Source organism: Homo sapiens, chromosome 3, assembly GCF_000001405.40.
Source record: "Homo sapiens chromosome 3, GRCh38.p14 Primary Assembly".
NCBI lineage: Eukaryota > Metazoa > Chordata > Mammalia > Primates > Hominidae > Homo > Homo sapiens.
The window spans coordinates 126978928-127002961 of record NC_000003.12 but is presented as its reverse complement, the minus strand read 5'-3'; the positions used below and the strand labels follow the sequence as shown (position 1 = coordinate 127002961).

At 62.8% G+C, this 24034-nt stretch overlaps 1 protein-coding gene across 1 annotated transcript in view, besides 12 other annotated features; it reads right to left on the bottom strand.

Moving 5' to 3' along the window:
• PLXNA1 (plexin A1) overlaps positions 1-19847 on the bottom strand; it is a 54275-nt gene extending 34428 nt beyond the window's left edge. Inside the window, exons 1-3 of the mRNA NM_032242.4 lie at positions 19675-19847; positions 13175-14441; positions 11396-11578 (exon numbers count right to left, since the gene is read on the bottom strand). Of these exons, the coding sequence (NP_115618.3) occupies positions 11396-11578; positions 13175-14368 (1377 nt within the window). The 5' untranslated portion in view covers positions 14369-14441; positions 19675-19847. The remainder of the gene's footprint in view (positions 1-11395; positions 11579-13174; positions 14442-19674) is intronic.
• Positions 482-776: an enhancer, noted in NCBI's record as "tiled region #421; HepG2 Activating non-DNase unmatched - State 12:CtcfO, and K562 Activating non-DNase unmatched - State 8:EnhW". NCBI's record gives its function as "activates a minimal TATA promoter and a strong SV40 promoter by Sharpr-MPRA in HepG2 and K562 cells {active_cell/tissue: HepG2 | K562}" and the evidence as "EXISTENCE:reporter gene assay evidence [ECO:0000049][PMID:27701403]".
• Positions 799-938: an enhancer, noted in NCBI's record as "active region_20449". NCBI's record gives its function as "activates an Ori minimal core promoter by ATAC-STARR-seq in GM12878 lymphoblastoid cells {active_cell/tissue: GM12878}" and the evidence as "EXISTENCE:reporter gene assay evidence [ECO:0000049][PMID:35858748]".
• Positions 1677-2310: an enhancer, noted in NCBI's record as "H3K27ac-H3K4me1 hESC enhancer chr3:126719495-126720128 (GRCh37/hg19 assembly coordinates)". NCBI's record gives its function as "activates a minimal SCP1, AML or CMV promoter by ChIP-STARR-seq in primed H9 embryonic stem cells {active_cell/tissue: H9 hESC(primed)}" and the evidence as "EXISTENCE:reporter gene assay evidence [ECO:0000049][PMID:30033119]".
• Positions 3262-3556: a silencer, noted in NCBI's record as "tiled region #11201; HepG2 Repressive DNase matched - State 9:DNaseU, and K562 Repressive non-DNase unmatched - State 23:Low". NCBI's record gives its function as "represses a minimal TATA promoter and a strong SV40 promoter by Sharpr-MPRA in HepG2 and K562 cells {active_cell/tissue: HepG2 | K562}" and the evidence as "EXISTENCE:reporter gene assay evidence [ECO:0000049][PMID:27701403]".
• Positions 4843-5476: an enhancer, noted in NCBI's record as "H3K27ac-H3K4me1 hESC enhancer chr3:126716329-126716962 (GRCh37/hg19 assembly coordinates)". NCBI's record gives its function as "activates a minimal SCP1, AML or CMV promoter by ChIP-STARR-seq in primed H9 embryonic stem cells {active_cell/tissue: H9 hESC(primed)}" and the evidence as "EXISTENCE:reporter gene assay evidence [ECO:0000049][PMID:30033119]".
• Positions 7377-8010: an enhancer, noted in NCBI's record as "H3K4me1 hESC enhancer chr3:126713795-126714428 (GRCh37/hg19 assembly coordinates)". NCBI's record gives its function as "activates a minimal SCP1, AML or CMV promoter by ChIP-STARR-seq in naive H9 embryonic stem cells {active_cell/tissue: H9 hESC(naive)}" and the evidence as "EXISTENCE:reporter gene assay evidence [ECO:0000049][PMID:30033119]".
• Positions 7869-7928: an enhancer, noted in NCBI's record as "active region_20448". NCBI's record gives its function as "activates an Ori minimal core promoter by ATAC-STARR-seq in GM12878 lymphoblastoid cells {active_cell/tissue: GM12878}" and the evidence as "EXISTENCE:reporter gene assay evidence [ECO:0000049][PMID:35858748]".
• Positions 18757-18836: a silencer, noted in NCBI's record as "silent region_14683". NCBI's record gives its function as "represses an Ori minimal core promoter by ATAC-STARR-seq in GM12878 lymphoblastoid cells {active_cell/tissue: GM12878}" and the evidence as "EXISTENCE:reporter gene assay evidence [ECO:0000049][PMID:35858748]".
• Positions 19852-20081: a silencer, noted in NCBI's record as "silent region_14682". NCBI's record gives its function as "represses an Ori minimal core promoter by ATAC-STARR-seq in GM12878 lymphoblastoid cells {active_cell/tissue: GM12878}" and the evidence as "EXISTENCE:reporter gene assay evidence [ECO:0000049][PMID:35858748]".
• Positions 20182-20401: a silencer, noted in NCBI's record as "silent region_14681". NCBI's record gives its function as "represses an Ori minimal core promoter by ATAC-STARR-seq in GM12878 lymphoblastoid cells {active_cell/tissue: GM12878}" and the evidence as "EXISTENCE:reporter gene assay evidence [ECO:0000049][PMID:35858748]".
• Positions 20452-20781: an enhancer, noted in NCBI's record as "active region_20447". NCBI's record gives its function as "activates an Ori minimal core promoter by ATAC-STARR-seq in GM12878 lymphoblastoid cells {active_cell/tissue: GM12878}" and the evidence as "EXISTENCE:reporter gene assay evidence [ECO:0000049][PMID:35858748]".
• Positions 21042-21091: an enhancer, noted in NCBI's record as "active region_20446". NCBI's record gives its function as "activates an Ori minimal core promoter by ATAC-STARR-seq in GM12878 lymphoblastoid cells {active_cell/tissue: GM12878}" and the evidence as "EXISTENCE:reporter gene assay evidence [ECO:0000049][PMID:35858748]".

Genomic DNA, 24034 nt, shown 5'->3' with positions numbered 1-24034 from the left:
GGGCCAGGCTGGGCTTTTGAAGGAGGGATGTTGGTTGTCGGGGGCAGAGGCCAGGGCTCACAGGAAGTCTAGGGCAGTGGACCAGGAGACTCCAGAATGGGGTGTCCTAGGGGTGGGGGCATCCTGGCAAGGCAGTGGAGGAGGGTGGGCGTCTCATCGGCATGGAAATGTATTCCAGATCCCAAACAAACCAGGCGTTAATTAGCCAGCTCTTCTCCGCAGCTCACGATGCTGCAAGTATTTTTAGTTGCTTTTACCAAACAAATGTATTTAATTAACAGAGAGACCCACGGGGCTTTCCAGAGATGGGACTCTTGGGGCGTGTCTGCCCAGCTCTGAGTCCAGGGTAGGCTCTCAGGCTGCGGGCTGTGGCCTGCTTCCCCCAGCCTGACCCACTCCTGCTCCCGCTCTACCTCTCCACTTCCACCTCAGGGCAGGGGCCTAGGCCCAGACTCAGTACCCCTCCTCTGTGTCCTCACTCCTCACGGTTACAGAGCAGGGCAGGTCCAGGGCAGCAGGGCCCAGCGAAAGCCCTGGTTGGAGTCCGATCCATCAGGCCTGGGCTGAGGGCGGCCAGCCAGGGTGGGGCGCTGTGTTTCTGAGCCAAAGAGGCTGTCGGCTGGGAGAGGGGGAGGGCCGCATTCCTGAGCGCCGCCGGCCACCCCCCACATCCGCTCAGCTGCCTCGCCACCAAGCAGGCTTAAGTCAAACCAGACCCGGAAGAGTGGAGCCCAAAGCTGGGCAGGGGAAGAGGCGGCCAGGATGGGCCCAGCTGCACTGGCTGCAGGGCCATGGCCCACGGCCTCTGGGAGGAGAGATGCAGGGACAGCGGGCGGCCCAGGAGCAACCAGGCCACGGCCGCCCAGCACCCCTGCCGGTGGGGCCTGGACTGCACCCACACCCGCACCAAGTGCACCCGTGCCTGCCTGCCCTGCAGCCACAGCAGGAGTAGGAGTCCTTGTTTAAGATGACCACTGGCCCAAGGCCTGCCCGACGGACGCTTAGGATGCCAGCACCACAAACCCCCTGCTTTGCTCTGGGTCAGTGGCCAGAGGCAGGTACTCAGACCCAGGCGGATGCCAGCCAGGACCAGCCTCTGGGCCACAGTGCCTGGGTCCAAACCTCTCTCTGCCTCCCTCAGACAGAGTTGTTCTGAGGATTATATGAGAACCAGGCCAGGTGTGCCAGGCGGGAGCAGGGGGACCCAGGGTGGCCAGGCCCACAGCAATCACCGCACCTGCGCAGCCAACCACACATCCAAGCCAGCGGCTTAAGACAGCCACCAGGGAGTGGGGGAAGGAAGGCGAGGAGGGCAGGACACAGACTGGGTGGAGGCTGGGGCAGGTATGCCCAGTGCGCAGACCTGCGGCTCCAACCTGGAAGACCCCGGTTAGGGACCACGATTCCTCTCATCTCCTCCATCCTCACAGTCCTGTGGATATCCCCAGCGGCTTCCCGCTGTGAAGCCCAGCCCCAGCTCCCCCTCCCCTACCAGCACCAGGGGATATGGCCCCTGGCCCCTCTTGCCCCTGGTAGCAGAGCCCCTTCAGCCTGAGCTGATGGACCCTGGCCCGGCATGCAGGGAGCACTTGAGAGGTGTCTCAACAAGGACATGACCCACCTCCCCAACAGCCAGGGCCACATGATGCCGGAGCCTGACCCTGGCCCGGCCTGCAAGGCATCCACCCACTCAGGGTTGGGGGCACAAATGTCACACCAAGGGGTGAAGAAACGGGTCACAGAAGGGCAGGTCCAGGGGGCACACCAGCTCCAAGGAAAGGAACGGTGGGTGAGGGGTGCAAGGAGGGGTCCCAGGAAGGGAAGAAGCCATAGGAGCTTCTTCTGGAGCTGGGCCCCAGGCTCCAGAACGCCCCGCTCCACCCAGCAGCATGCCGACTGGACAGTTGGCTCTGACAGCTGCAGCCGGGAGCACACGCGTCCAGCTGTCCATCCGCCATGTACCCATCTGTCCACCCACCTGCCACCTCCACCCCTTCACACACACAGGCTGGGCCCAGGGAGACAGAGCCCCAGGAGAGGCCATGGCATGGCCAGTGTGAGCGGGGCACTGGGGAGGCCACTACGGCACAGCACACCAGACCAGAGGATGGATGTGACGCAGGTGCAGGCCCCACACTGTTCACTGAGGCGCCACGGTCCAGACTCAGCAGGGCCCCTGTGCACCCACACATGTTCTACAGGGCATCCAGCTAGGACAATGGTCCCCAGGACATGTGTCTGTGTCCTAGCCAGAGTTCAGGGTGAAGGGCCTGTGCAGCCAAGCCAGCTTTATCAAACCACACAGACAGGAGGTAAGCTGAGACTCACACAGCACCTGCCAGAGGAACCTTGGGCCCTGGACCCGCAACTGCACCTGGGAGGAGTACAGAGGCTGCTCGTAAAGTGGGAAGGGGGAGCCAGTACCCAGCAGGAGGGTATTCCAGGAGAACCAGAGCACAGGGGCACAGACGGCAGGTGAACCTGGGGCCAGAGCGGGTGGCAGGACAGAAGGGCACACGCCGGCCGGGAGCCCACGTGCCGACGCCCACACCCTGGCCACAGCTGTCCACTTTCGGGCCACCCGCCTGGAGGCAGCCCACCCTCGAGGTGGCTGGGCCCAGAAGCCCCTCCCACAGCAGCTGGGCAGCTGGCAGAGCAAATGAGAGGCTTGACGTGTCCCGGGCATGGGAACGGGCCACAGGCATGCCCTGGAATCTTCCCCCAGCTGTCACCTCCTTGCTCTGCAAATCTTTCCCCAAAGACCACCAGAACCTTCCACAACTGGCCCCAACAGCCCACCCTCCCACCTCCCAGCACAAACCAGGAGCTGGCGCTGCCCATGCATGCCGCCCCCTGCTTGAGAGGACCCTCCCCTTGACCCAAGGGGCTTCAGCAGAGCCAGCAGCCTCCCTGGATATGCCCCTTGGCTGCACCAGGCCCCCACCCACCCCTGGCTGGCGGAACACGGGATGCCCCCACCTGCTTCTGCCTGGACCATCTAACCCTGGGGTACCTGTCCTACATGCACACGGGCGAGTCGACCCTGGGCTCGGAGCCGAGACCGAAGTGCAGTCCCGAGGCCTCTCAGTGCCCAGGCCACGCCAGGCATGGCCCTCACTCCTGGACTGAGCACCTCCCACCACCACAGGGCTCATCTGACCCTCCCCACAGATAGGCCAGGGAGCAGGTTCACCCCTTTGCCCCCAGGACACAGCAGGCAGGGCTCAATGCAGGCCCCAGGCTGGCCCTGCTGGCTGTACCCACTCCCATCACCGCCACAGCCCTGGCCAACTGCTGCCGGCGGGCAGCTGAGGGCCCGGCCAGGTCAGCTGTCCATCCCGCCCAGAGCCAACAAAGGGCCCATTCTCCGGGCTGAGGGCAGGCGGGGGTGCCGGGAGGATGTCTGGGCCACCCAGGCTATGTGCCAGGACCGGCACGCGCCCCAGCCGCCGGGAGGCAGGGGGCTGCCCGGCTTGGCCCTGACCTGGCAAGGGGAGTTGCCCAACTCTGCCTGCCCCATGATGGCAGCCAGGGGCCTGGCCCTCCCTCTTTCTGTGAGGCGGGGATGCACCTGTGGAGCTGCCTCCGGGCCCCAGGGCTGGGAGAAGGACAGGACAAGGTGGGGACAGGCAAAGACCGGGGCAGCAGCTAAGGAGGTGCCCACACGTGGAGGCCTCACACACTTCTCAGCCTTTCTGCAGAGGCAGCTGCCAAACCCGTCCCCAGCCTGAGGTGGCCCCAGGAAGGGCTGCCCGAGGGGCAGGAGCCTCTGCTGCCCTCTCTTCTCAGGACCCCCACAGGGTGCAGAGCCCACCTGCCCCTCCCCTTCCCAGCCAGAACTGCACAGCTGAGGTAGGCCCCAGCGGACCCACTCCCAGACCCTCCTCACCCCTCACAGGACTGCCCCCTCCTCCAGCTGTGGACAGGTTCTAGGCCTCCTTCCTGGGTCCCCACCACTCTCAGAAAGGCCAGGAGGAACTTGATACTGGAAAAGCAATTAGCAATTTCCTCTTGGCAGTAATTGGGTAATTAAAACAGGATTTGCAGGAAGCCCGAGGGCTGGAATCAGGCCAGACACACCTGTCGGGGGAGAGAGTGTCCTAGGAATCCCATCTCTTCCACCCCCAACCCCCAGCACACAGGGAGAGCAGAGACTGAGGTCAGGGTCCTGGCAGGTGAAGGACAGCCAGGGCTGCCTTAGACAGGCTCCAGCCTGCCCCAGCAGCAACCCCTCAGCAAGGAGTGGACCTCCCCAACCCCTGGTCTCATCTGCCAACATCCACCTCACAGAGCTGTGTGAGAATTCAGGAGTTCATGGTTCCAAAGGGGAAGTGCTTGGCCCTGCTGTGGGGCAGATGTGCACAGCTGCCTGGGGAACCTAGCACCCAGCTGGTGAGGCCACACCTGGTGGGGCCACCGTGAACCACCATAGACTGCACCACCTCAGTCACATACCACTGCCTGGGCTCCGGGCTAACCTGGGGCTTGGCCAGAGTCTCCGCCACAGCCAGGCTGTCACCAGCACGGGTCCTGTGGGGACACAGGCAGCAGGGACCATCTGCCCCAGTGTCTTCCCTCAAACCCACCAGCTGCCTGGTGCCCTCTCTCCTCCATCCTGTGACCTCAATGCCACCTCCAGCTCTGACCCTAGTGCCACCCCATGGCCCTGGGCCCTCAAAGACCCACATCAGCACCTACCCCCCATCCAGCTGGTCCAGCCACCTTCTCTGGTGAAGTGACCCACCACACAAGCATAGTGTGCCCGAGGCAGCCCCTGAAACCCCAAAAGGCACAGTACGCTTCCCAGCATCCACGGGGGGCACCTCTGAGCTTTGGCCCTCCTGTTCCTTGTCCCCAGAACACCCTTCCAGCAGACCACCCAGTCCCCTGGGTTGTTCCAGCCTCCATACCCACTGCACGCTGCCAGCACCTCCTACATCGTGGTCTCTGCTGTGGTTGGGACCACAGGCCCCATGTGCCTGTGGGGGAAGGCGACTGCCCGGTGTGGATACTCACAAGGCTGCCCCTGCCAGGCTGGCCATGAGCCCGAGCACACACAGGACGGCATGGGGAAGCCACTGCTGCCTCCACCTTATCAATGGTGTTGACGGGCCCGTGCCCTGGCTTAGGCCTGACTGGCTTAGGGCTCTCCGTGAGTGCCCCATGGGTGGCCCTGCCAGCCACTGGGAAGCAGAAGCGATGCTTATGCACCCTCGCACACCACCAGCTCTGGGACGGCACTCATCATGCCCACAGGGCAAACAGCAGGTCGCTCCCTGCATCCTCATGGCTCAGCCCACAGTGGCCAACTACATCCAGGAGAGGCGGAAAGGGGGCGGGCACACGCTCACCAGGAAGCACAGATGTCGGCAGGTTACCGTGCAGGGCCCCGTGAAGGGGACTGGGACTGCTGGCCTGGGCGGGCAGTGGCAGCACACACTCAGGCCCCACAGAGAGCAGCCATGACAGGCAGCTGGCTCTGCCCCATCCCACCAAGACTACCAGTGGGGGCACAGCAAAGACGGACCCGGTGGCCTGCCCCAGAGCACCTGCCTCATGCCCATTGACCCCACATGCTGCCGGGCACTGCCACAGGCCGCCACCAAGTCCTTCAGCAGCAGCAGAGGTGGTCCCAGAGAGTTAAGGCAGAACAACAACAGAGGCTCCACAGCCTTGCTCCCAGGCTGAAACCCCAAAGAAATCCATCCTTCTGCCACAGGAATCCACACACAGCCATGCTTACAACAGGCCTGCAAGGACTGGCAACACCATGGCCATCCAGAGTGGGCAGGATGCACAGGCATGTGTGCTTGAAACACGCAACATGAGGACATGGCACGCACCACAGCTGCCCACAGTAAGGAAGAGTCTTGCCAAGCAAAAGATGATGACTCAACCCCAGAGCCCACATAGCAGCACACAGCGTCAAAGGAGCCAGCCAGGGCGGTCACCCTGGGAAGGGAAGGACCAGGAGGGGCTGCCGGGGATGGTAGGTGCCTATGCTCTCCCGTGACACACCCCCAATGCACGCTTCCATGTGTGTCACTTCCATGTGGCGTCTGTCACAGGCTGACCATGCAGGGCACAGGACCCTCCTGCAGGCTCGGGAGTGGGCTGCATGCTGCAGGTGCAAGGGGCACGTCCCCAAAGAACGCCAACAGTGCAGCACAGGCTGTACCTGGGAATGACTGTAGGCTTCAAGGGCAAGTCATTGAAATCAACTCCCCTTGTCCCTCCCTCAACAACACACAAGATGAAACTCAATGGTGGGGGACAGCAGCCTCTCCACGGCTAAGGGGCTGGGGGCTCAGTCCTGCCCTGCACCTCCCTTGGGTCAGGGCTGCCTGTGGCCAGCACACTTCTTGCCCCCCCAGCTCCAGCTCTTTCAGGACGGTCTCCTACCACATCCCTGGCACAGACCCTGGACAGGGAGGCTCACTACAGACCTGAAGAGGCTCAAGCTGCCAACCCCACAGTGGGCACCTGCCACCAACTGCCTTGCACTTGCGTGGGCTGTGAGATGCCACTCAACTTCCAGAACTTACAAATTCCAAAATCCTGCCTGGGGTCCGGGGGTATGAGGGGAGTGCAAAGAGGCCTCTAAAGCATGCTGAAAGCTTCTAGAGCAGTGGGGCCTCTAGGGGGCAGGTGTTCCTTGTCCCCAGGCAGCCCAGGCACACAGCAGGTGCCCAGCTGTCTGCAGAGAGGAAGATGGCCGGGCGGAGGACACCTCCCACGCTGCGCAGGGCTCCAGAGGCTTCGCTCCAGCTCCAGGCCCCGCAGGCCACCATTCCCGAAGCTCAGGGATGGCAACTAATGCCACAGGCCTCCTAAGCACTTCAGAGACCCAGCTGCTGCAGGTTCCACCACTGGGAACCCCTAGGAGTGCTGAAGAATGGTGGGGACCAGGAAAGCTGCAGGAGGTGCTGCAGCATGAGTCCTGAGGGCCCATGAGCACAGGGACAGGGGCCAGCCAGGCCAGGACGCACACAGGGAACTGCAGCTGCAGCCTCTGTGCAGGGACCGCCACAGGGAGATGCTGTGATGGCTCATCGGGGTCAGCTCCAGAAGGAACTTCAAGCCCCAAGCCTCCCTGGGGTATGCCCAGATGCACCCAACATCCAGGGAAGGAAACCAAGGCCCCAGAGGATGGGGCTTCACCAGGGCCATGCCTCAGAGCCCAGGTGGGTGGCTTCCCTAAGCTACTCAAGGCCACAGTGCAGGTCCCTGGGCCACAAACTGGTGGCCAAAGGGATGCTTGAGTTGGTCCTGTTATACTCTCTTACAACGTGGATTTAATAACCAAGAGATCTCACACAAAATACAGGTTTCCAGAATCTTGAAAAACCGGGTGCTCAGGCAGTCAGGCCTACATTCCCTGAATGGGCAGGCTGGGCCTCAGCCAGGGGCTGGCTCCTTTTGCCCCGCAGCAGCAGCAGGACCAGAGCAGGGCTGGCCTCGGGTGCCCGTCAGCCGGCCCACAGGGCAAGGCTCTCCCCAGCTTCCTCTGTAGGGGGACAGCACCCGCTCTGCAGGAGGCCGGGGCCTGTGCTCTCCCCTCCCATGGGGGTACTTGGGCTGATGCTACAGGACCCAAAACAGGGGCTGCTCCTGTGAGCTCCTGACATGGCCCGGGGTCCCCAGAGGCCACGGGAGGAGCTGGGAGCAGGGCGCAGGAAGTTCGCTGAGAGAGGCACCCCAGGGGGAGAGGCTGCCTGTGTGGGTGCAGAGCAGGTGCCAGGCAGGGCTCTGGTGAAAGGAGGGGGGACAGGGGCACCCCCAGTCAGCCCCATAGCCGAAGTTGGCAGGTCTTAAATTAATCAGCTACAATTTCACACCCCAACAGTTTGACAGGAACTGGCCCGGGGCCAGCCAAGTCCCTGGAGCTCCCCAGACACTTTTTAAAGCCCGGAAAAGACTGGCCTGGGAAAGACAGGGAGTGGTAAGCCTGGCAGGCCTGCCCCTGGGTCAAGCGTGGGCTGGGGGTCCCCAGGGCCCAGCTCCAGGAGACCAAGTGAAGAAGGCAGGAGGCGGGGCCCTGTGCTCTGAGAGCACAGCCAGGCCAGCTGCCTCAGGGAAGGAGAAGCCCTATGTGAACAGGCAGGAGGGAGCCCCGGGGCCCGGCCTCTCCCAAGGCCCTGAGAGCAAGAAGGAGGCAGGGCAGCCCAGGGGCCGGGCTCAGCATGGCCCTCCTTACCCTGGCTCTGGACCCTGGACCACAGCCAGCCCCACACACAGGTTGGGTCAGCATGACAAGGAGAGACGAGGAGAAGTGAAGTTCTGCTGCCCCCGGGCCAGGCCAAGTAGAGGCCTGTGTGGCCAGCGGGGAGCAAGCATCCTTCACAGTGGAGCAAGGCCAGAGGCCTCGCACTGGAGTCTGCAGGACATAACAGAGCCAAGGCAAGCAGAGTAGGACTCGAACCCAGGCCCCAGAACAAGTGAGGGTAGATCTCCTCCTCCTGGCCCCTCACCCCAAACCCAGGGCACCCTCTGCCCATGTGGCCTGTGGTGGGAAGTTAGGCTTTGAAGGTCCCACGGTAACTAGGGAACAAGGGAGGCAGAGCGGATGGAACAGGCAGCCACCCCAAAATGCACCCACAGCAGCAGCACTCCCAGCCAGGTCGGAGGGCAGGAGCTAGCCAGACAGCCAGGGTCTTGGACTGTAACACAGGTGGGAGTGGGTGGCAAGGGGCTCCTCAGAGAGGGGGTCACTGAGGAAGGGGCCTAGCTCTCAAGGCTAGCAGAGAACTCTGCCCAGCCTCCTCCAAGGAACCGCAGAAAGGGAGGGAAGAGCCAGCAGCCCTGAGCACCTGCCTTGAGCACTCAGTTTCCCCACCTGTCAAACAGATGACAGGCTGCTATGAGGCCTCTGTAGGGTGCAGGCGCATGGTCAACACTCATCACACACCCCAGGCCACACGAGCATGCCAGGTCCGCATGGTACGAGGAGACACCAAGGCTCAGAGAGGCTGGACGGCTTGCTCAAGGCCACACAATGGGCAAGGAGAGGGCTGGGACCCACAATGACATGCAGCATTTGCATGACGTTGAGGTTCAAAAACCCTGCACGGGACATGCCCAGCTGCTGGACAGTTTGAGAGCAGGTGGATTTGGGTGAAAGAGTACAGGCGGCAGGTTCTTCACCAACATGACCGTGTCTGCATCCAGGGGGACAAAGCAGAGGCGTGCCTTGCCTGGGGGGGCCTCCGAACAAAACTCAGACCCAAGTCCCCGACTGCAGACTCTGCCAGGCCAGCAACCCCTGGGCACAGCTGACCCCAGATGCTCCCAAAGGGTGCCACTCACACATGGCCCACGGCACCCAGCCCAGACTTGTTTGGGGGTGGAGGGAGGCGGTACCCAGGTTGGGTGCTGGGAGGCAGGTATGGGCACCTAGAGCCTCTGAGGAGAACTTGGGGCTCTGAGGGGTGGGGGCCCGGCCAGGGTCACCAGGAAGGAACTAGCCATGTCAGGCCATGAGGACGCAGCCTCCACCTTCCCAGCTGCACCATCCAGCAGCTGCCCACAAAGCCAGGCTCAAGGAGGCACCTGGCCCAGGGAGCAGAGGACAGGCTCCACCCATACCTGCCTCCCTGAGAACGGTCCTCCTTGGGACTAGGGGTGGGAAGGGGAAAATTGGGAGAAGGAATGGGGGCAGGAAGAAGGGGAAGAGTTGGTAGAATCTCAACCCAGAAGCAGCCTCTTCCCATAGATGGGCCCAAGCCCAACTCTGCAGTTCCCTGTTCTGTACCTCAGTTTCCCTCTGTGGGACTGGGGTGAGGAGGCAGGGGAGACAGGCCAACTGGCACCCAGAGGAACAGCTGTGTCCTGCTGCTCCCTCAGCAAAGCTCTGACCCAAACGGTGCCCCTGGGGCACAAGAGGGTGAGTGCTGGGCAGCAGGAACAGGGTAGGGCTAGAGGAACCTGGTCACTGGCTGGGTAACAGGCTCTGGGGCGCCCCACAAAATGTCTCTAAGCTGCTGCACTGGGCTTCCACACAAGCACGGTCCTCTGTCTGGCAAAACCCACTCCAACACCCACCCCATGCGCTCGAGAGCCCTGTGTGCCTTCCAGTGTGAGGAGAGGGAGTGCAGGCTGAGAGGACGGGAGGGGCCTCGCACCAGAGCCACAGGGCGGTACCCCACATGGGGGCCAAGAGGGAAGTCACAGCAGAGGACCCAACTCAGGGGTCACAGGACTTTCCCCATCAGCTTCAGCCTCATAGCCACTATGAGCAGAACCAGCAGGACCCCAGGGCACCCCCACCCTGGGGGGCCTACAATCAGCAGCTGGGCCCCCACGGGCCCCAAGACCACCAGCACCCCCCGCCCCCAGCCCAGAGCCTGAACATCTGGCTTATTTCACAGAGGGAAGCTGAGGCTGCAGGGGATCCCCTCCCAGAGATCACAGAGCCAGGGAGGGGCAGGACTCCCCACCACTCCCAGGGCAACTACCATGGCAGAGATGGGAGGCCCCCTTCCTAACACTGGGCACCGGGCTGAGAGCTGCAAGCCCTGGCCAGCCCCCGGCCCAGCCCCACTCGCGGGCACACATGGGCTCAGGGGAGCTGCATCGGCACCAGCCTCTGGTGCCGGTTATGCACCCCAGGACCCACCACTGCCCACTGGGCCTCTGGGGTGTCCAAGTATCCCCACCCTTCAGTCTCTCCGGGAGCTTCCTCCACACCAGGCCAGCCTGGTGCCCACCCCAGCCCAGGCAGCTCCCCTCCACCCACACCCTCCAGGAAGCTCTGCACTGCCTCTGTCCAGCCCACTGTTCTGGGGAAGGAAAGGAGAACCCTGAAGACCAGACAGCCATCCCTGTAGCACCTAGCCCTCCCCCTGCCACCGTGGGGCCAGCCCAGGGCTGTGTGCTGGAGCTCCTCAAGCACCAGCCAAAGACAGGCAGGGGCACTACCCTTGCCCTGCCCTTGGCCCAGTAGAGGGGCTGGGGAGAGGCAGGGCCAAGGCCTCTGGCCCGGCAGAGTGCTGAGGCAGCAGACACTGGATCTCCTGGCTGGGGAGCAGGGCCCAGAGGGGAGGGGGCCGCGCAGGCCTGCCCTCACCACCCACACACAGCAGCCTCCCCAGGAGGTCAAGTGCCCTTGGAGAGCCAGCCCCCGCCTCAGCATCCCTGGGCCCCTGCACAGGCTCCTGCGTGGTCTCAAAGTGTCCTTGCTTAGTGGGCCTGGGGCCAGTCATGGGCAGAGGCACAGAGGGGAGTGGGGCCCTTCAAGGTCACTGGGCCTAGTGTAGGGCAACATTCCCCCTGCCCCCTGTACGCCAGATCTAGCCTCCCACAGCATACAGCAGCACTGGGCCTGCCACCTGGGACGGCCGCAAGCCTTTGTTCCTGCCCCAAGCCCCCTCCTCACCCCACCCCACCCAGGCCTGACCTTGCGGATGCGGCCACTTCGCGTGCCGGCGAATACCACAGTGCGGCCCCGATAGTCATAGGCAGCCACGGCGGTCAGGCCATCATCCTTGTCCACGAACAGGGGCGTCCCCTCAATGGTGACTGTGCCCCCCAGGGGCTGGTTGAAGTCCTGCCCGCAGAAGTCGTCATCGATCTGCAGGGGCTGTGGGAAGGGGCAGGGTGAGAGCCACTCCCCGGGCACCTTCTCCCGGAGGACTGGGCCTCCCTGGGCAGGGCTGGGAGTGCAGTTGTCTTTCTAGAGAGGTTGGGGGTAGCCCCCAGAGGAGAGGTGCAGACAGAGAGGGTTTAAGACAGGAGGGAGCAGATCACACCTGAAAGGCAGAGGGCGGGCTCCCAGCTAAGAGCACGAGAAAGCAATCAATAGCTTGAGGTTCCGGAGCAGCTGGGGGCCAGTGTGGAGGGGGCGCTGCTCCACCGCCAGGCCTAAGGAGAGGGCAGGGCAGGCAGGGAAGGGATGTGGGGAGAAGTGGGGCAGATGGTCCTTGTCTGCAGAGGGTTCATTGGCAGGGGCCAGGCTGCTCAGGAGGAAGGAGCAGGGGAGGCTGGGCCAGGGCTAGGCCACATGGAATGAACAGGTGGGAGGGGGCAGTGGGGACTGTCCCCAGGGATGAAAGAGCAGGCCCCAGCCTTGGGGCAGGGCACAAAGAGAGAGTGTGGTGGGGCTTCACCCAGGCTCTGCCCCTACAAGCCTCAGTGTCTCCATCTGTATGGTGCAGAGAAAACACGTTCCTTGAAAAGCCAAGGGGAGGGTGGACAACCGCATCTGCCAAGCACACATGGGCCCTGCCTCACACAGGCAGTGAGCGTGAGACGGAAGGACTGAGGGGCCCTTGCAGTCCCACTCTGCCCTGAGGACAAAACCAGCAACACCCTCAGGTCAGACATGGGAGACTACAGCCAGAGAGGGCGAGGCCTTCCCCTGCGATGGCCAGCGACCCCCAGCAGCAAGCCCAGAAGGCCTGGCCTCGGGGGTCCCAGGTCTGGGCCGAGTCCCAGCCCCTTCACTTTCCACCCTAAGCAAGGCCCGTGCCCTCTGAGCCTGCCCAGGAGTGTGAACAAGACACTCCCTGAAAGGCAGCGAGATAGAGGCCCCACCCCAGCTGTGCCTTCTGATGGGTGCTGGGGGCTGTGGCTCCCTGCAGTCAGGGTCACTTTCTCTGCAAGTTGTTAACTGTGGCCTGCACCAGGACACCATCAGCTCCCATTGCTGGGCAAAAGCAGAGGCCCAGCGGGCAGGTGCCACCAGGGTCATGTGGGGGACACAAGCGCTCCATGGAAATGGTGTCTGGGCTCACCTGATAGGCTCTGGCACCAGCCTCTCACTTGCTGTGTGACCCAGGGCAAGTTACCCCACCTCTCTGATCCTATAACCTCATTTGTAGGATGGGGACAAGATGGAGCAGGCAAGCACCAGGTGTAGGACCAGGCATGTGGCTGGCACTCTGTCCAGTGTCCCACAGGGGCTGTGGACTATGCCAGCAGGGCCTCGTCACCCCATCTTCTGAGGCACAAGACAGCATCATGGCTGGGAGCAGCCTTTGGGGCTAGCACCCTGGGTCCAAACCCACTCTCTGGGGGATGGAAAAGGGCAGCCCCACCTAGCTGAGCCATGGGGATGGCCAAGCCAAAAGCCAGGCCAGGCACACAGCAGGCACCACTGGGCGTGCATCTGACACCGATGCCGTCGTCCCTGGAGGGGATGGGGCCGCGGGAGGAGGGGCGCCCCTGCCCAACTCACCGAGTTGATGCAGCCCAGCTCCTTGTTGAGCAGCCACGGCAGGGAGAGCTTGCCCTCACCACGGTAGCAGGACTGGATGCGCTCCTTAATCTTCTCCTTGATGGCCCTGAGCGTGAACAGGCACAGTGCTGACTCCTTTGGTGGCTTCACGCGGTTCTTCTGGCCCTGGGCGAACACAGTGAACAGCACGTCCTCGTCCTCAGCCAGGCCCAGCTGGTGGGCCAGGGCACGGCCGGGCCGGCTCAGGTAGGCATCCTGCACCAGGCGGTACTCCACACCCGCCTGCTCGCAGCCAATGGGGAACTCAACGTACGAGTAGAATTTGGGGTCGTCCACACAGAGCCGCACGATCTTGGACGTGAAGAAGTGCTCGCCGGCGGCATCAGGCGAGGTCAGCTGTGTGTCTAGCTGCAGCGTGAGGTAGTAGACAAACTGCTCGCTGCGGAAGCTGTACACATAGTAGATGTCAAAGGCCGGGAACTTGGACAGCGTGTCCGAAGGGATCTTGAGCTGTGATGACACAAACTCATCCTGGTACACGAAGCCGAACATGTCGGCATCCTCCTCGTTGGCCATGAGCCGACGGCTGGACAGTGTGGGGAAGTACTCGGACTTGCCATCGATGGGTGTGCCCACGAAGAGCTTGGCCTGGCCCTGGCCCGGTGGCCCGGCAATGAGCACGCCCGCCATGCTGCCTGCCTCCTGCACGCTGGACAGGTAGTGCTCCTTACGGTGGTGTGGCTCACCCAGTTTGAAGAGATCGTCCAGACGCAGGAACTGGCAGATGCCCTGGGAGGCGCTGCCACAGGCCAGCAGGCGGTTAGCGGCATAGTCCAGCAGCAGCAGCTTGTTGACGTTGTCAGTACTGCCCAGGCCGTGGGGGCAGGACTGCACGCTGGGCGGCGGGTAGCACTTCTCGTTGTCCTCCACAGGGCCCGTGACGTGGGCCCGCAGCAGTGTCAGGTTCCCCGACAGCTTATAGATGCGGTTCACTGCGCCCACATACACCTCGCCTGTCTGCTCATGCACCACTAGGTGGGTGAGGCCCCAGTCGCTGGCCGAGAAGGTGCGGAAGGGGGGCTGTGAACCCCCGCCTGCCCTGGGCAAGCCTGCCTCAGCCCACATGCCCGGCAGCAGCAGCAGCAACAGCAGCAGCAGCAGGAGCACCTGCAGGCTCCGCGGTGGCAGCGGCATGGCAGGCTGGGGCCTTGGGCCTCGGTGCTCTGGTCCTGCTGGGGTGAGCATCATGGTGCCAGGAGCTTCAGCCCTGGGGAAGGGGCAGAAGAGGGCATGTGAATGCAGGCATGGCCCATCCCATGATATTATGATCTCCCAGTGTGAGCCCTTCCAGTGCTGGGCGTGCCCACTGCACCTCCAGGAGGCAGAACCTGACCCACCAGGAGGAGCCAGGGGCAAACTGGGCACCTCCCTGGCCTGAGGCCCTATAAGCTGTGGGGTGCACCAGGTATCCCCAGGACACCTGGCAAGAGGTCACTCCGTTGGCACCTGTGCCCTGCCATCACTGGCGGAGGCCAGGAACAGGAAGGCAGGTGACAAGGGCCTGAGGTGTGGAATGGGACCCCAGCTGACACCAACATCTGACACCAACCTGGAGAGCAGCCTTCACCCAGAGCCTCCCTATGCACTGGGGAGCAGGACCCTCCCCACAGCTCTGTACTCCCAGGGTGGGCACCAGCTCCCTGCCTGAGGCTGGTGGGGACATACTCCACCACCGTCCCCTACAGAAGCTTGACATAGATGGGCTTTAGTGCTCACTCCCACCTCCACAGCCCTGCCTCTCCCCCGAACACGCCCTGACAGCCCACAGCAGAGGCACCACGGAGGACATGGAGGCCCAGGCCACACAGGCAGCAGTTCTCACTGTGGATAGGTGGCAGCCTGGGCTGCTCTCGGTGGGACCCCAAGCCCCATGCTGGATAAACCTTGAGACCTGCAGTCCAGAAGCCAGGCAATGTGTCCCACCCACATCCCCACCCCAGCCGACGGGTGCCCCGCCACACGGCCCCTTCCCAGGCTCCCTGGCCCACCAGCCCTGACTCTCAGCACTCTATCCAAGCCACCAGTCCTGCTCCCAGCCTCACACCCAACTCCAAGGAAAGAGGAATTCCTCCACAGGGAAGGCTGGCAGGTGCTCCCTGCACTCCACCCCTCCACAGTGACCCCTTCCCAGCCTCAGCACCCCATACCCACCCAGACCTGTGTGGCCCCCTCCTGCCTTGCTCCACATCGGGCCCTCACTTCCTGGTCACACTCACTACCAAGGTCCATTGACTCCACCCCAAACTCCACAAAATGCCCACCCCTCCTTCCTGGATTGCCAGGGTACTCGGCTCCCTCCACCCACAACCACCTACAGCCAGGTCCCTATGCAGAGGCTAAGGCCACTCTTCTGACCTGCACACGAGGTCAGCGCTGCCCAGATCCTGGCGGGAGTCCCCATATCCTGTCCTGGCCTCCACTGCCTCTGGAAAAGTCTCACCACACCCTGCCTAGCAACTGGCAGCCAAGCACTGGGCTAAATCTAGACCCTGTTACTCTGTAGGCAGATGACTCTGATGGGGACACTCCCTTTTCCTAGCCTCAGTTTCCCCATTTGCAAAAGGGGCATGAAAGCTCTTTTCTCATGGATGAAAGAGGAAAGGGCACACCTGCCCACAAGGCATAGTCAGCAGTGCCACCCCCTTGGTTGTCAGTAGGGCCTGCTGCCCTGGATGTGCCTGATGTGCTGGGGCCTCTCACCCACTCCTGGCTGGAGCCGGCTACAGCAAGGCTGAGTCCTGAGTCTTGAGTTCAAGCCTCAGCCAGCCAGTTTGCACAGACCATCCCAGACACCCCTTGTATGGTCTGGCCCCATTTTACAGATGGGGAAGCTGAGGCCTGAAGATGGATGCCTTCTCCAAGTCTACCAGGGAGCTGGGCACAGTCCCATCAGCCTCTGTGCCTGGTGCCCACATGCAGTGTGGGGCTGCCTGCCCCTCCCCCAGGCCTCTGTGCCCCTGTCTCCACTCCCCGCCCTGCTCAGTCACCCTGTTCTCATCTGCAGCACAGGACTCGTGAAGGGTCTCTATTACTTATTGCTCCCATTCTCCCGGCCAGAATGGCTGCCCTGTGAGAGCAGGGCCTGGCTCTGGGTGGTTGCCACTGCATCCCCAAGCCAAGCCAGGGACCCAGGAAGACTCAATAAATCCCCGTGAGTGAGCGAATGAATGAAGGGTATGCGGAGGGCCAGCCAGGTCTGGGTGCGGCAGCCCCCCATGCTTCTTCACTCCTGTTTCACTCCCCACACACTCCCTGCCCAGTGTGTGCACAGCACACACCCACTGCTCAGGTGGGGAAACCGAGGCTCTCAGAAGCAAAGAGCTTTGGCTGGAATCCCAGAGCAGGAACTGCAGGGTGCTCCTAGCAGGCTGCCAGCTGCCTTTGCCGGACAGCGCCCCAAGAACAGCAGGGGAGGAGTCCCCACTCCCGCCCCCGCCTCAGAGCTCAAGGAAGACCCGGGAGCCAGAAAACAGGCTCCTCACAGTGGCAGTGGGGCCGGGGCTGGGAGCTGAGCACATGTGAACTCCAAAGAAAACATGAATCACTCACCGTTTATCAGTTCAAAGCAGGCCTGCAATTACCAGGGGCTGGGCTCTCCCCTCCTCTGGGATAATTATACACGTCTTAATGCAATTATGGGCCCTACTTTTTGTATTCAACAGGAGGGACCAGGCTAAGAAGCCACCATCCAAACTCCAGCCTGGTCTTGGGCCCACCGCCCCAAACTCCACCCTCACCCCACTGCCCCAACAAAGTCTGCTGGGAAGGGACTTGCCTGGGGTCACAGGGTTGCCGGCCAAGAAAGGGGGAGCCCCGAGCCTAGGGCTGGGTCCCTCATGCCCAGCATCTAATAAAGGCCAGTGACAATGCTTGGGCCACTTCTTCCACCTTAGGGGTATAAGACTTGGGGCTCAGACTCAAGGTCACCCAACTAGTCCCAGCAGGGCAGGGCCCAAATTTCGAGCTTCCAGAGACTGGACCAGCCAGCCAGCCTGCAGGGCTCAACTCTCATAGGCTTGGGTCTGCCTAGGAAAAAATGCATTCATTCCAAAGCTGGGCCCAGGTGCCAGGGTGCCAGGGGCCCATGCCGGGGCTAGGAGGGGAGCATGGGCAGATGCTGCACTCTACCGAGGAGCAGAGCTGGCCACTGTGGCCGGGGAAAGGCCTCAAGAGAGGACCAGGTAGCCTGGGAGCTGGTGCAGGAGGGTGGGCATTCGTGGTGGGGGTGGGGGGCAGAACAGGAGGAGCAAAGGCCTGGGGTGGGAAACACTGGCTGTGCAGAGGGCAGTAGGAACGGCTGTGGCTCTCCGGCATGGCCAGAGCTGTTCTAGGCTGAGGCAGAGCCAGAGCCAGGGCAGGGGAGGCTAGACTGGCCTTGGGATGCCGATGGGGCTAGCCAGGGAGAGAGAGGCGGAGAGAGACCCCGCGGTCTGCGTGCAGGAGCCCCAGCCCAGGGGCTCCTCTCCTGGACAGGAGGGGATCGCCGCCTGGTGGAACGCCAAGCCAACAGTGTCCCCTTCCCTTTCCTGGCCTGAGTGACACCAAAGCTCCTTCTCACCCTGAGAAACAAAGGCCCCCAAAGCCCTCCCCACAAGGAAGAGTCCAATCCCCCCAAGTCCTCCTGCGCCAGATCCTGCTATGGCTCAGGCAGGTTGGGGTGTGGGGCTGCCATCCTGCCCAGTGGCTCACAACAGCAGCCGGGGGGGAAGACAGCTGCTCCTGGCACTCCGCCTCCCCCACAACGGGGGTCATGGGAGGTGGTCCCAGTGGTTCTGCTCCCGACCAGTCCTAGGGGATCCGGCTCTGAAGGCCTTGGAGTCCTGCTCCTGAGAAAAAGTGCCTACCTTTGCAGGCCTTCCCCTGGGGCACCCGCTCCTCCCGGCCAGCTGCTCTAAGCTGCTCTGTGCACGGGGGCTTTCCTGGGGGCTCAAAACAGGCAGGCAACGACCTTGGGGGGCCAGGAGTCCAGCAAAGGGCTGTCTGCTTTGTCCACAGGCACCTCATGTGTCCCCCACCCCCAGAGCACACACTGAGGCCACAAACCCAGGCCTCCGCCCATGCTGTCCTCTGCCCAAAACGCCCTTCCTGGGCCCCACTGGCACCCCCCAGGAATGGAAGCCTGGCCCTGCAGCGAATCACTGGTTCACATGCCTGCCTCTGGCAGGGGGCTGGGTGCTCCTCAAGGGCCGGGCAGCATCTTGGTGCCCCTGGTGCAGCACCTGGCCTCTGCCGCACACCCCAAGCCGCAGGAAATCGAGGGGACCTGAGGCAAGCTCCTCAAGGGCCCGGGGAGCAGAAACTGCGCCCCATCCCTGCACCGACCCCCAAACCGGCTACGTGTGAAAGGAGATGGGGCAGCACGGAGCAGCCTGAGCCACAGGAGCCGCGCTGAGGGGACAGAGGCTCGACCACGTCCCCTCCCCGGCACACACACCCCTTTCTTTCAAGGGGCGTGGCCCCAGAACCCCACACAGGAGCCTGGGGCAGATCGCCGCCCGGGGCCGCCCCTCGGAGCCCCTCCCCTCCTTTCCAGGGCTGCACCTGGGACCTCACGCCGACCGAGGGGCCTCCCTGGAGTCCCCACTCCCCCTTCCCCTGGCAGCCCGGGATCGGCCCGCTGCCTCCAGCTTCGCCGCACATCAGGCCCGGGACTATCCAGGAAGCAATCGGAAGCCTCCGGGAGAAGCGGCTGACCCTGGAGAGGCCCCGAGAGGGGGAGGCCAAGGAGGCCCGAGCGGGGCGGCCTCCTGGGCGGCACCCAGAGCCCACCTCCCCGCACTCCGGGCCAGTGGGAGCGGTGGCAGCTGTGGTCGGGAAGCCGCTCCAACTTCCACCCCGCGCCCCAGGGCCGGCCGGGGGCTTAGCCTGCACGACCTCCTCCGGCCCCCGCGGCCCTGCTGGGAGGCTCCGATCCCTATCCGGGCCTGGCCACCCCGTCCTCGCCCGCGGCCAGAGGTCTGAGCCGAGGTCCAGCGGCCGGGACGGGCCTGGACACCGCAGGGGCCTCCCCGCGGGGCCGCCGCAAACTTTCTCCCCAGCCTCCGTGGAGGGGCAGCGCCCGCCCCCCGCCACCCCGGAGCTGCCGCGGGGCTCGGCGGGCCCGGCCGGGGGGCGGGGGAGGCCGCGGCGCTGGATCCCGGGCCGCGGTCCCAGCCCCGCCGCACGGGGGTGCGGTCTCTCCGCGTCGGCGCCGCGACCGCGCCCGGACACACGCGGACGCCTGGGCCGGAGCCGCAGGGACACGCGGGCCGCGGACACGCGCGCCGCAGTCCCCACGCGCGCCGCAGTCCCCGCGCACACCCCCTGCCTGCCGCCTCACGAGAGGGCCGCCGCCGGAGGCCGCCCCGCGCCCACCCACGGGCCGCCCGGCCCCGGACCCCAGCCCGGCCCGGCCCCCGCCCACCGTCCCGCGCCGCGGGGAAAGTTGCGCCCCGACTCACCCGCCGCCCCGGGGCGCGCCCCGCCGCCGGCCATCGCCGCGCCCAGCCGCCCGCGCCGCCGCCGCCGTCCGCCCCGCCGCGGGGCCGCCGAAGCCGCGTAGGCCGCCCAGGCCGAGGCCGCCGCCGCGCCCGGGCTCCGCTGCGTGGCCGCGCAGCCGATGCCCAGCATGAATGGGGCGCCGAGCGCCGCGCGGCTGCGGACCGGCCTCGCTCTCGCCGCCCGCGGAGCCCCGCGCCGCGCGCATGCGCCGCCCAGAGCCCGGGGGCGGGGCGGGGGCGGGGCCGGCGGCGGCCTCCAGAGGGCGCTCTGCCCCGCGCCGCGCGCCTGCAGGGGCCCACCGCGCGTCTTCAAAGGGCGATACGGCTGCCCGCCTCAACTCTCTGGGCGCCGGGGCCGCGCGGGCAGTTCCGGGAGCCCCCCGCTCTCGAGCGGGCTAGCCCGCGACCCCAGGAACAGGGCCTGGCTCAGTGTGCCCAGGCTAGGAGCATGGCCTCCTTTCACGGGGGGGGAAACTGAGGCTGAAGGAGGCAATCGCAGTTCCCAGACCTTGCGGGGCCGGGTGTTCCCAGCTCTCGGCCTCGCGCGTTCCGCTCTGTCAGATGGGCGGGCACCTGCGCGGGGAGCCCGGGCGCCCCCTGCAGGCCCCAGGCTGGTGGCGCATTCCCGGCTGGGGACGCAGCCCAGGGAGGAAAGTCCCGCGGCAGAGGCGTGGCGAGACGCGAACTCCGGCTGTAGCGTGGGGCAGCGGATCTACACGGTGTGAGGTGTGGGGCTGCAGAATCCAGGGTGACGGGCCAGAGCTGTCCAGGCAATACCCCCAGCCTGCATGGCAAGGCTGAGGGGCAGACACCCAGCACTCAGTTACTGTACTCACAACCGCCACTCCCAGGCAGGAGGCATCCGGGAGGGCCTCCCGGTGGACGCAACCAGGCCAAGGAAGGGGAAGCCGGCAACAGGAGCATCGATAACAGAGCAGATGGGCCAGGAAAACCCCGTCGTGGGAGGGCTGAGTCCCGGCTGGGGACTTGGCCCCCATCTGTAGCCTGAGGGGTGCGGTTTTTGCTGTGTGAATCACGTCACCCCTACAGAAGAGGAACTCTCTACAGTTCACATGGTTAACAGGGAAAGGGAATGGACTCATACCGGGCCCAGGTGTCCCTCCGCGTCTCACCCCGCTCCTCCCTCCCCAGGAGCAGCCACAACCCTCATTTTTGTGTTCATCTTTAAGTGCTTTTCTTTGGGTGTGACCTCTTATATTTGCACCCCAGAATGGGACGCTGTTTTGGGTGGCTTGTTCTGGGCATTACAGAAACGGGGTCACTCAGCCTGTGCTGTTTGCTCTGTCTGCTCTGTGTGGTGAGGGCACAGGGCAGCTGCTCGCAGGCATCGTCTTCGCAGCCTGTTTTGTTGGGCTCCTGCTCGCCCATTCTCCTGCCGATGGACATGGGATTGTCGCCTATCTGGAGCCATGATGAGCAAAGCTGTGATGAGCATCCTGTGTGTGCCTCTCGGTGGGCACCTTTAGATCCAGGGACGGTCTGCAGGGTCACGGGGTAGGATTTGTCTAGCTTCAGGAGATACAGCAAAACCGTCTTCCCAAGTGACAGCCCCAGTTTACACTCCCAGCAGCTTAGCAGGAGTGTGGAAGGGTCTGGCTGTCCCACATCCTCACCAATATTTGGCACTCTTTAGTTTTGCAAATCTAGTGGCATGAACTGGTTTTTCAACTAGGTGGTTTTGCTTGTCTGCTTTTTTTTTTTAGAGACAGACAGGGTCTCGCTCTGTCACCCAAGCTGGGATGTTGTGGTGCAATCAGAGCTCACTGTAACCTCAAGCTCCTAGGCTCAAACCATCCTCCTGCCTCAGCCTCCTGAGTAGCTGGGACTACAGATGGGCACCACCATGCCTGGCTAATTTTTTTTTTTCAAGAGATGAGGTCTCTATGTTACCCAAGCTGGTCTCAAACTCCTGGGTTCAAGTGATGCTCCCACCACAGCCTCTCAAAGTGTTGTGATTAAAGGCATGAGACACGGCACCCAGCCTCATTGAGTCTTACTGTGTCGCCCAGGCTGGAGTGCAGTGGCTCGATCTCAGCTCACTGCAACCTCCACCTCCTGGGTTCCAGTGATCCTCCCACCTCAGCTTCCCGAGTAGCTGGCATTACAGGCGTGTGCCACCATGCCCAGCTAATTTTTGTTTTGCCATGTTGGCAAGGCCGGTCTCAAACTCCTGACCTCAAGTGATCTGCCCGCCTCGGCCTCCCAAAGTGCTGGGATTACAGGTGTGAGCCACCATGCCCAGCCTCATTGTGGTTTTAACTTACATGTCCCTGAATGAGGCAGAACATCTTCCTCAAAAGTTATATTTATTATTTTATTTCCCAAGCACTAATACAGTGCTGGCTCTGCTACCTTCTACAGATGGGTGGGCTGAGGCTGGAGACGTGCTCAAGTTCCCCAGTGGATAGGAGGCCGGGCTGGGAGGCTAATCCCAGGAGTCTGGCTTCTCCAGTCTGTGGTCTTGACCCAGCCACTGGGCTGTACTTCCCCTCCCTTCCCTGGCAAACAAGACTGGAGCGCTTTCTTTCCTCACGGACTACCGAGGCACACGTGTGGGCGCAAATCCATCCTCATGGCTGGTGAAGGCAGAGCAAGTCCTGACTGCTCTCCGAGCCTCGATTTCCTCATCTGTGAAATGGACGTGAGAGCTTGCAGAGCTGTGGTGAGGGACACAGTGAGTGTGGACACCATGGCTGACCTCGGGGAATGTTCACCAGCTCTTGTCTGCGCCACCTGTCACCAGCACCAGGGGCTGTCCCTGCTGTCTGCCTGTTCCCGCCCTTTTGCCCCAAGGCAGACACTCCTCAAGGAGCTTCCTGCTCTGTACTCACGGTGCCCAGGAGAGCCTAGGCCTCTCCTCTGTGGTAGAGCCCCCTGTCTCCAGCTGCGTCTTGGGAAGGTCCAGGGCCGCTGGAGTCTACGTGTCCAGGACCAAGCTCCTGGTTAACCAGGTGCCTCCCTCATTTTCCCCATCTCTGCGAAACATGCCACATCCCCCAGGTTGCCCTACTGGGAACCTCCATGCTCCCCATGTCCCCTGCATCCCTCAGCCTGGTGGATTCTTCCCAAAAATATATTCCAGAACTTTCCACTTCCCTCCATCCCCACTCTGGGCTCCTCAGGAAGGAGCACCTCCTCTCTGCTCTGCCTGCTGTACTTGGTAACACCTTTCTGTCCAGTCCCCAGACAGCAGCAGCAAAAGCCATCACAGTGAGAATCTGCTCATGTGACCCTCTCATTATGCCCTGGAATTCCTTCTCCCATCATGAGCAACTGTGGATTCCAGGTGGCCTAGGTCTCAGCGCCACACAGAAAATTCTAAGGTTTTTAGGAGACCAGAGAGCAGATTCGCTTCCTGTCCCTGGGCTAGGGGAGGATTTCATAAACAAGATACTAAAAAAATAAAGAAAGGAAAATATGAGTCAATTTGACTACATTAAAATTAGTTACTTTTGCTCATTAAAAGTTATAAATAATGAAATAATGAGACAAGTCAGGATCTAGAAAGAGATGGCTTATAACACATCTAATTGTCAAAGGATGTGTATCCTGAATATATAAAGAACTCCCAAGAGTCAATAAGGAAAAGGCTGTGCCGCCACAGGAAGGTGGGGAGAAGACTGCACAGGCAGTTTGTGGGGACAGAGGCAAGTGCCTCTTGCTATGGATGGGCTGTGTGAGGCAGGCTCTAGAGCCCCTGCGGCTCTTGTCTGGCCCCGGCAGCAGCTGCCCTCTGTTTAGCTCTGAGCTCCTGGTGTGACCACACTGGGTCCTGACACTGCCCTCTGAGGAGGGACTGCAGCACCCCAAATGCAGACAGAGAAGTTGGAGGTGAGCAACCTTGGAGGAGCTGGGGTTGGAGCCGGGGTCTGTGACTTTGGGGCTCCTGACCCCACATCAAATAGAGGGGAAGTGACTCAGCAGGCTGCTGGGCTCTTCCCTCTGGGTTTCCCATGTTGGTTTAGCTTCTGTTTGCCTTCGGCAGCTCAGAGGGCTGGGGAGTTTGTAGAGTAGTGCAGGAGATTCCTAGGAACATGGTTCCATTTCAGGGGGGTCTGGAGAGGAGCTTCTTTTGGTGCTTTCCCATGCTCCTGCCCCTGGGGCAGCTCTGGGGACTGTTCTGCATTTGTACGAGTCAGAGCTTTCTGCAAAAGTATACTTGGGATCTCCTTCCCCTTGAGGCAGCCCCACTGCTACTGGGTGAGGAAGGAGATGGGGAGGATCCAGGCACCCCCAGCTCTGGGGAATGGCCCTCAGATCCCTGGTCACTGGGTTCAAAGCTGGTTGGGGGGGCATCTGG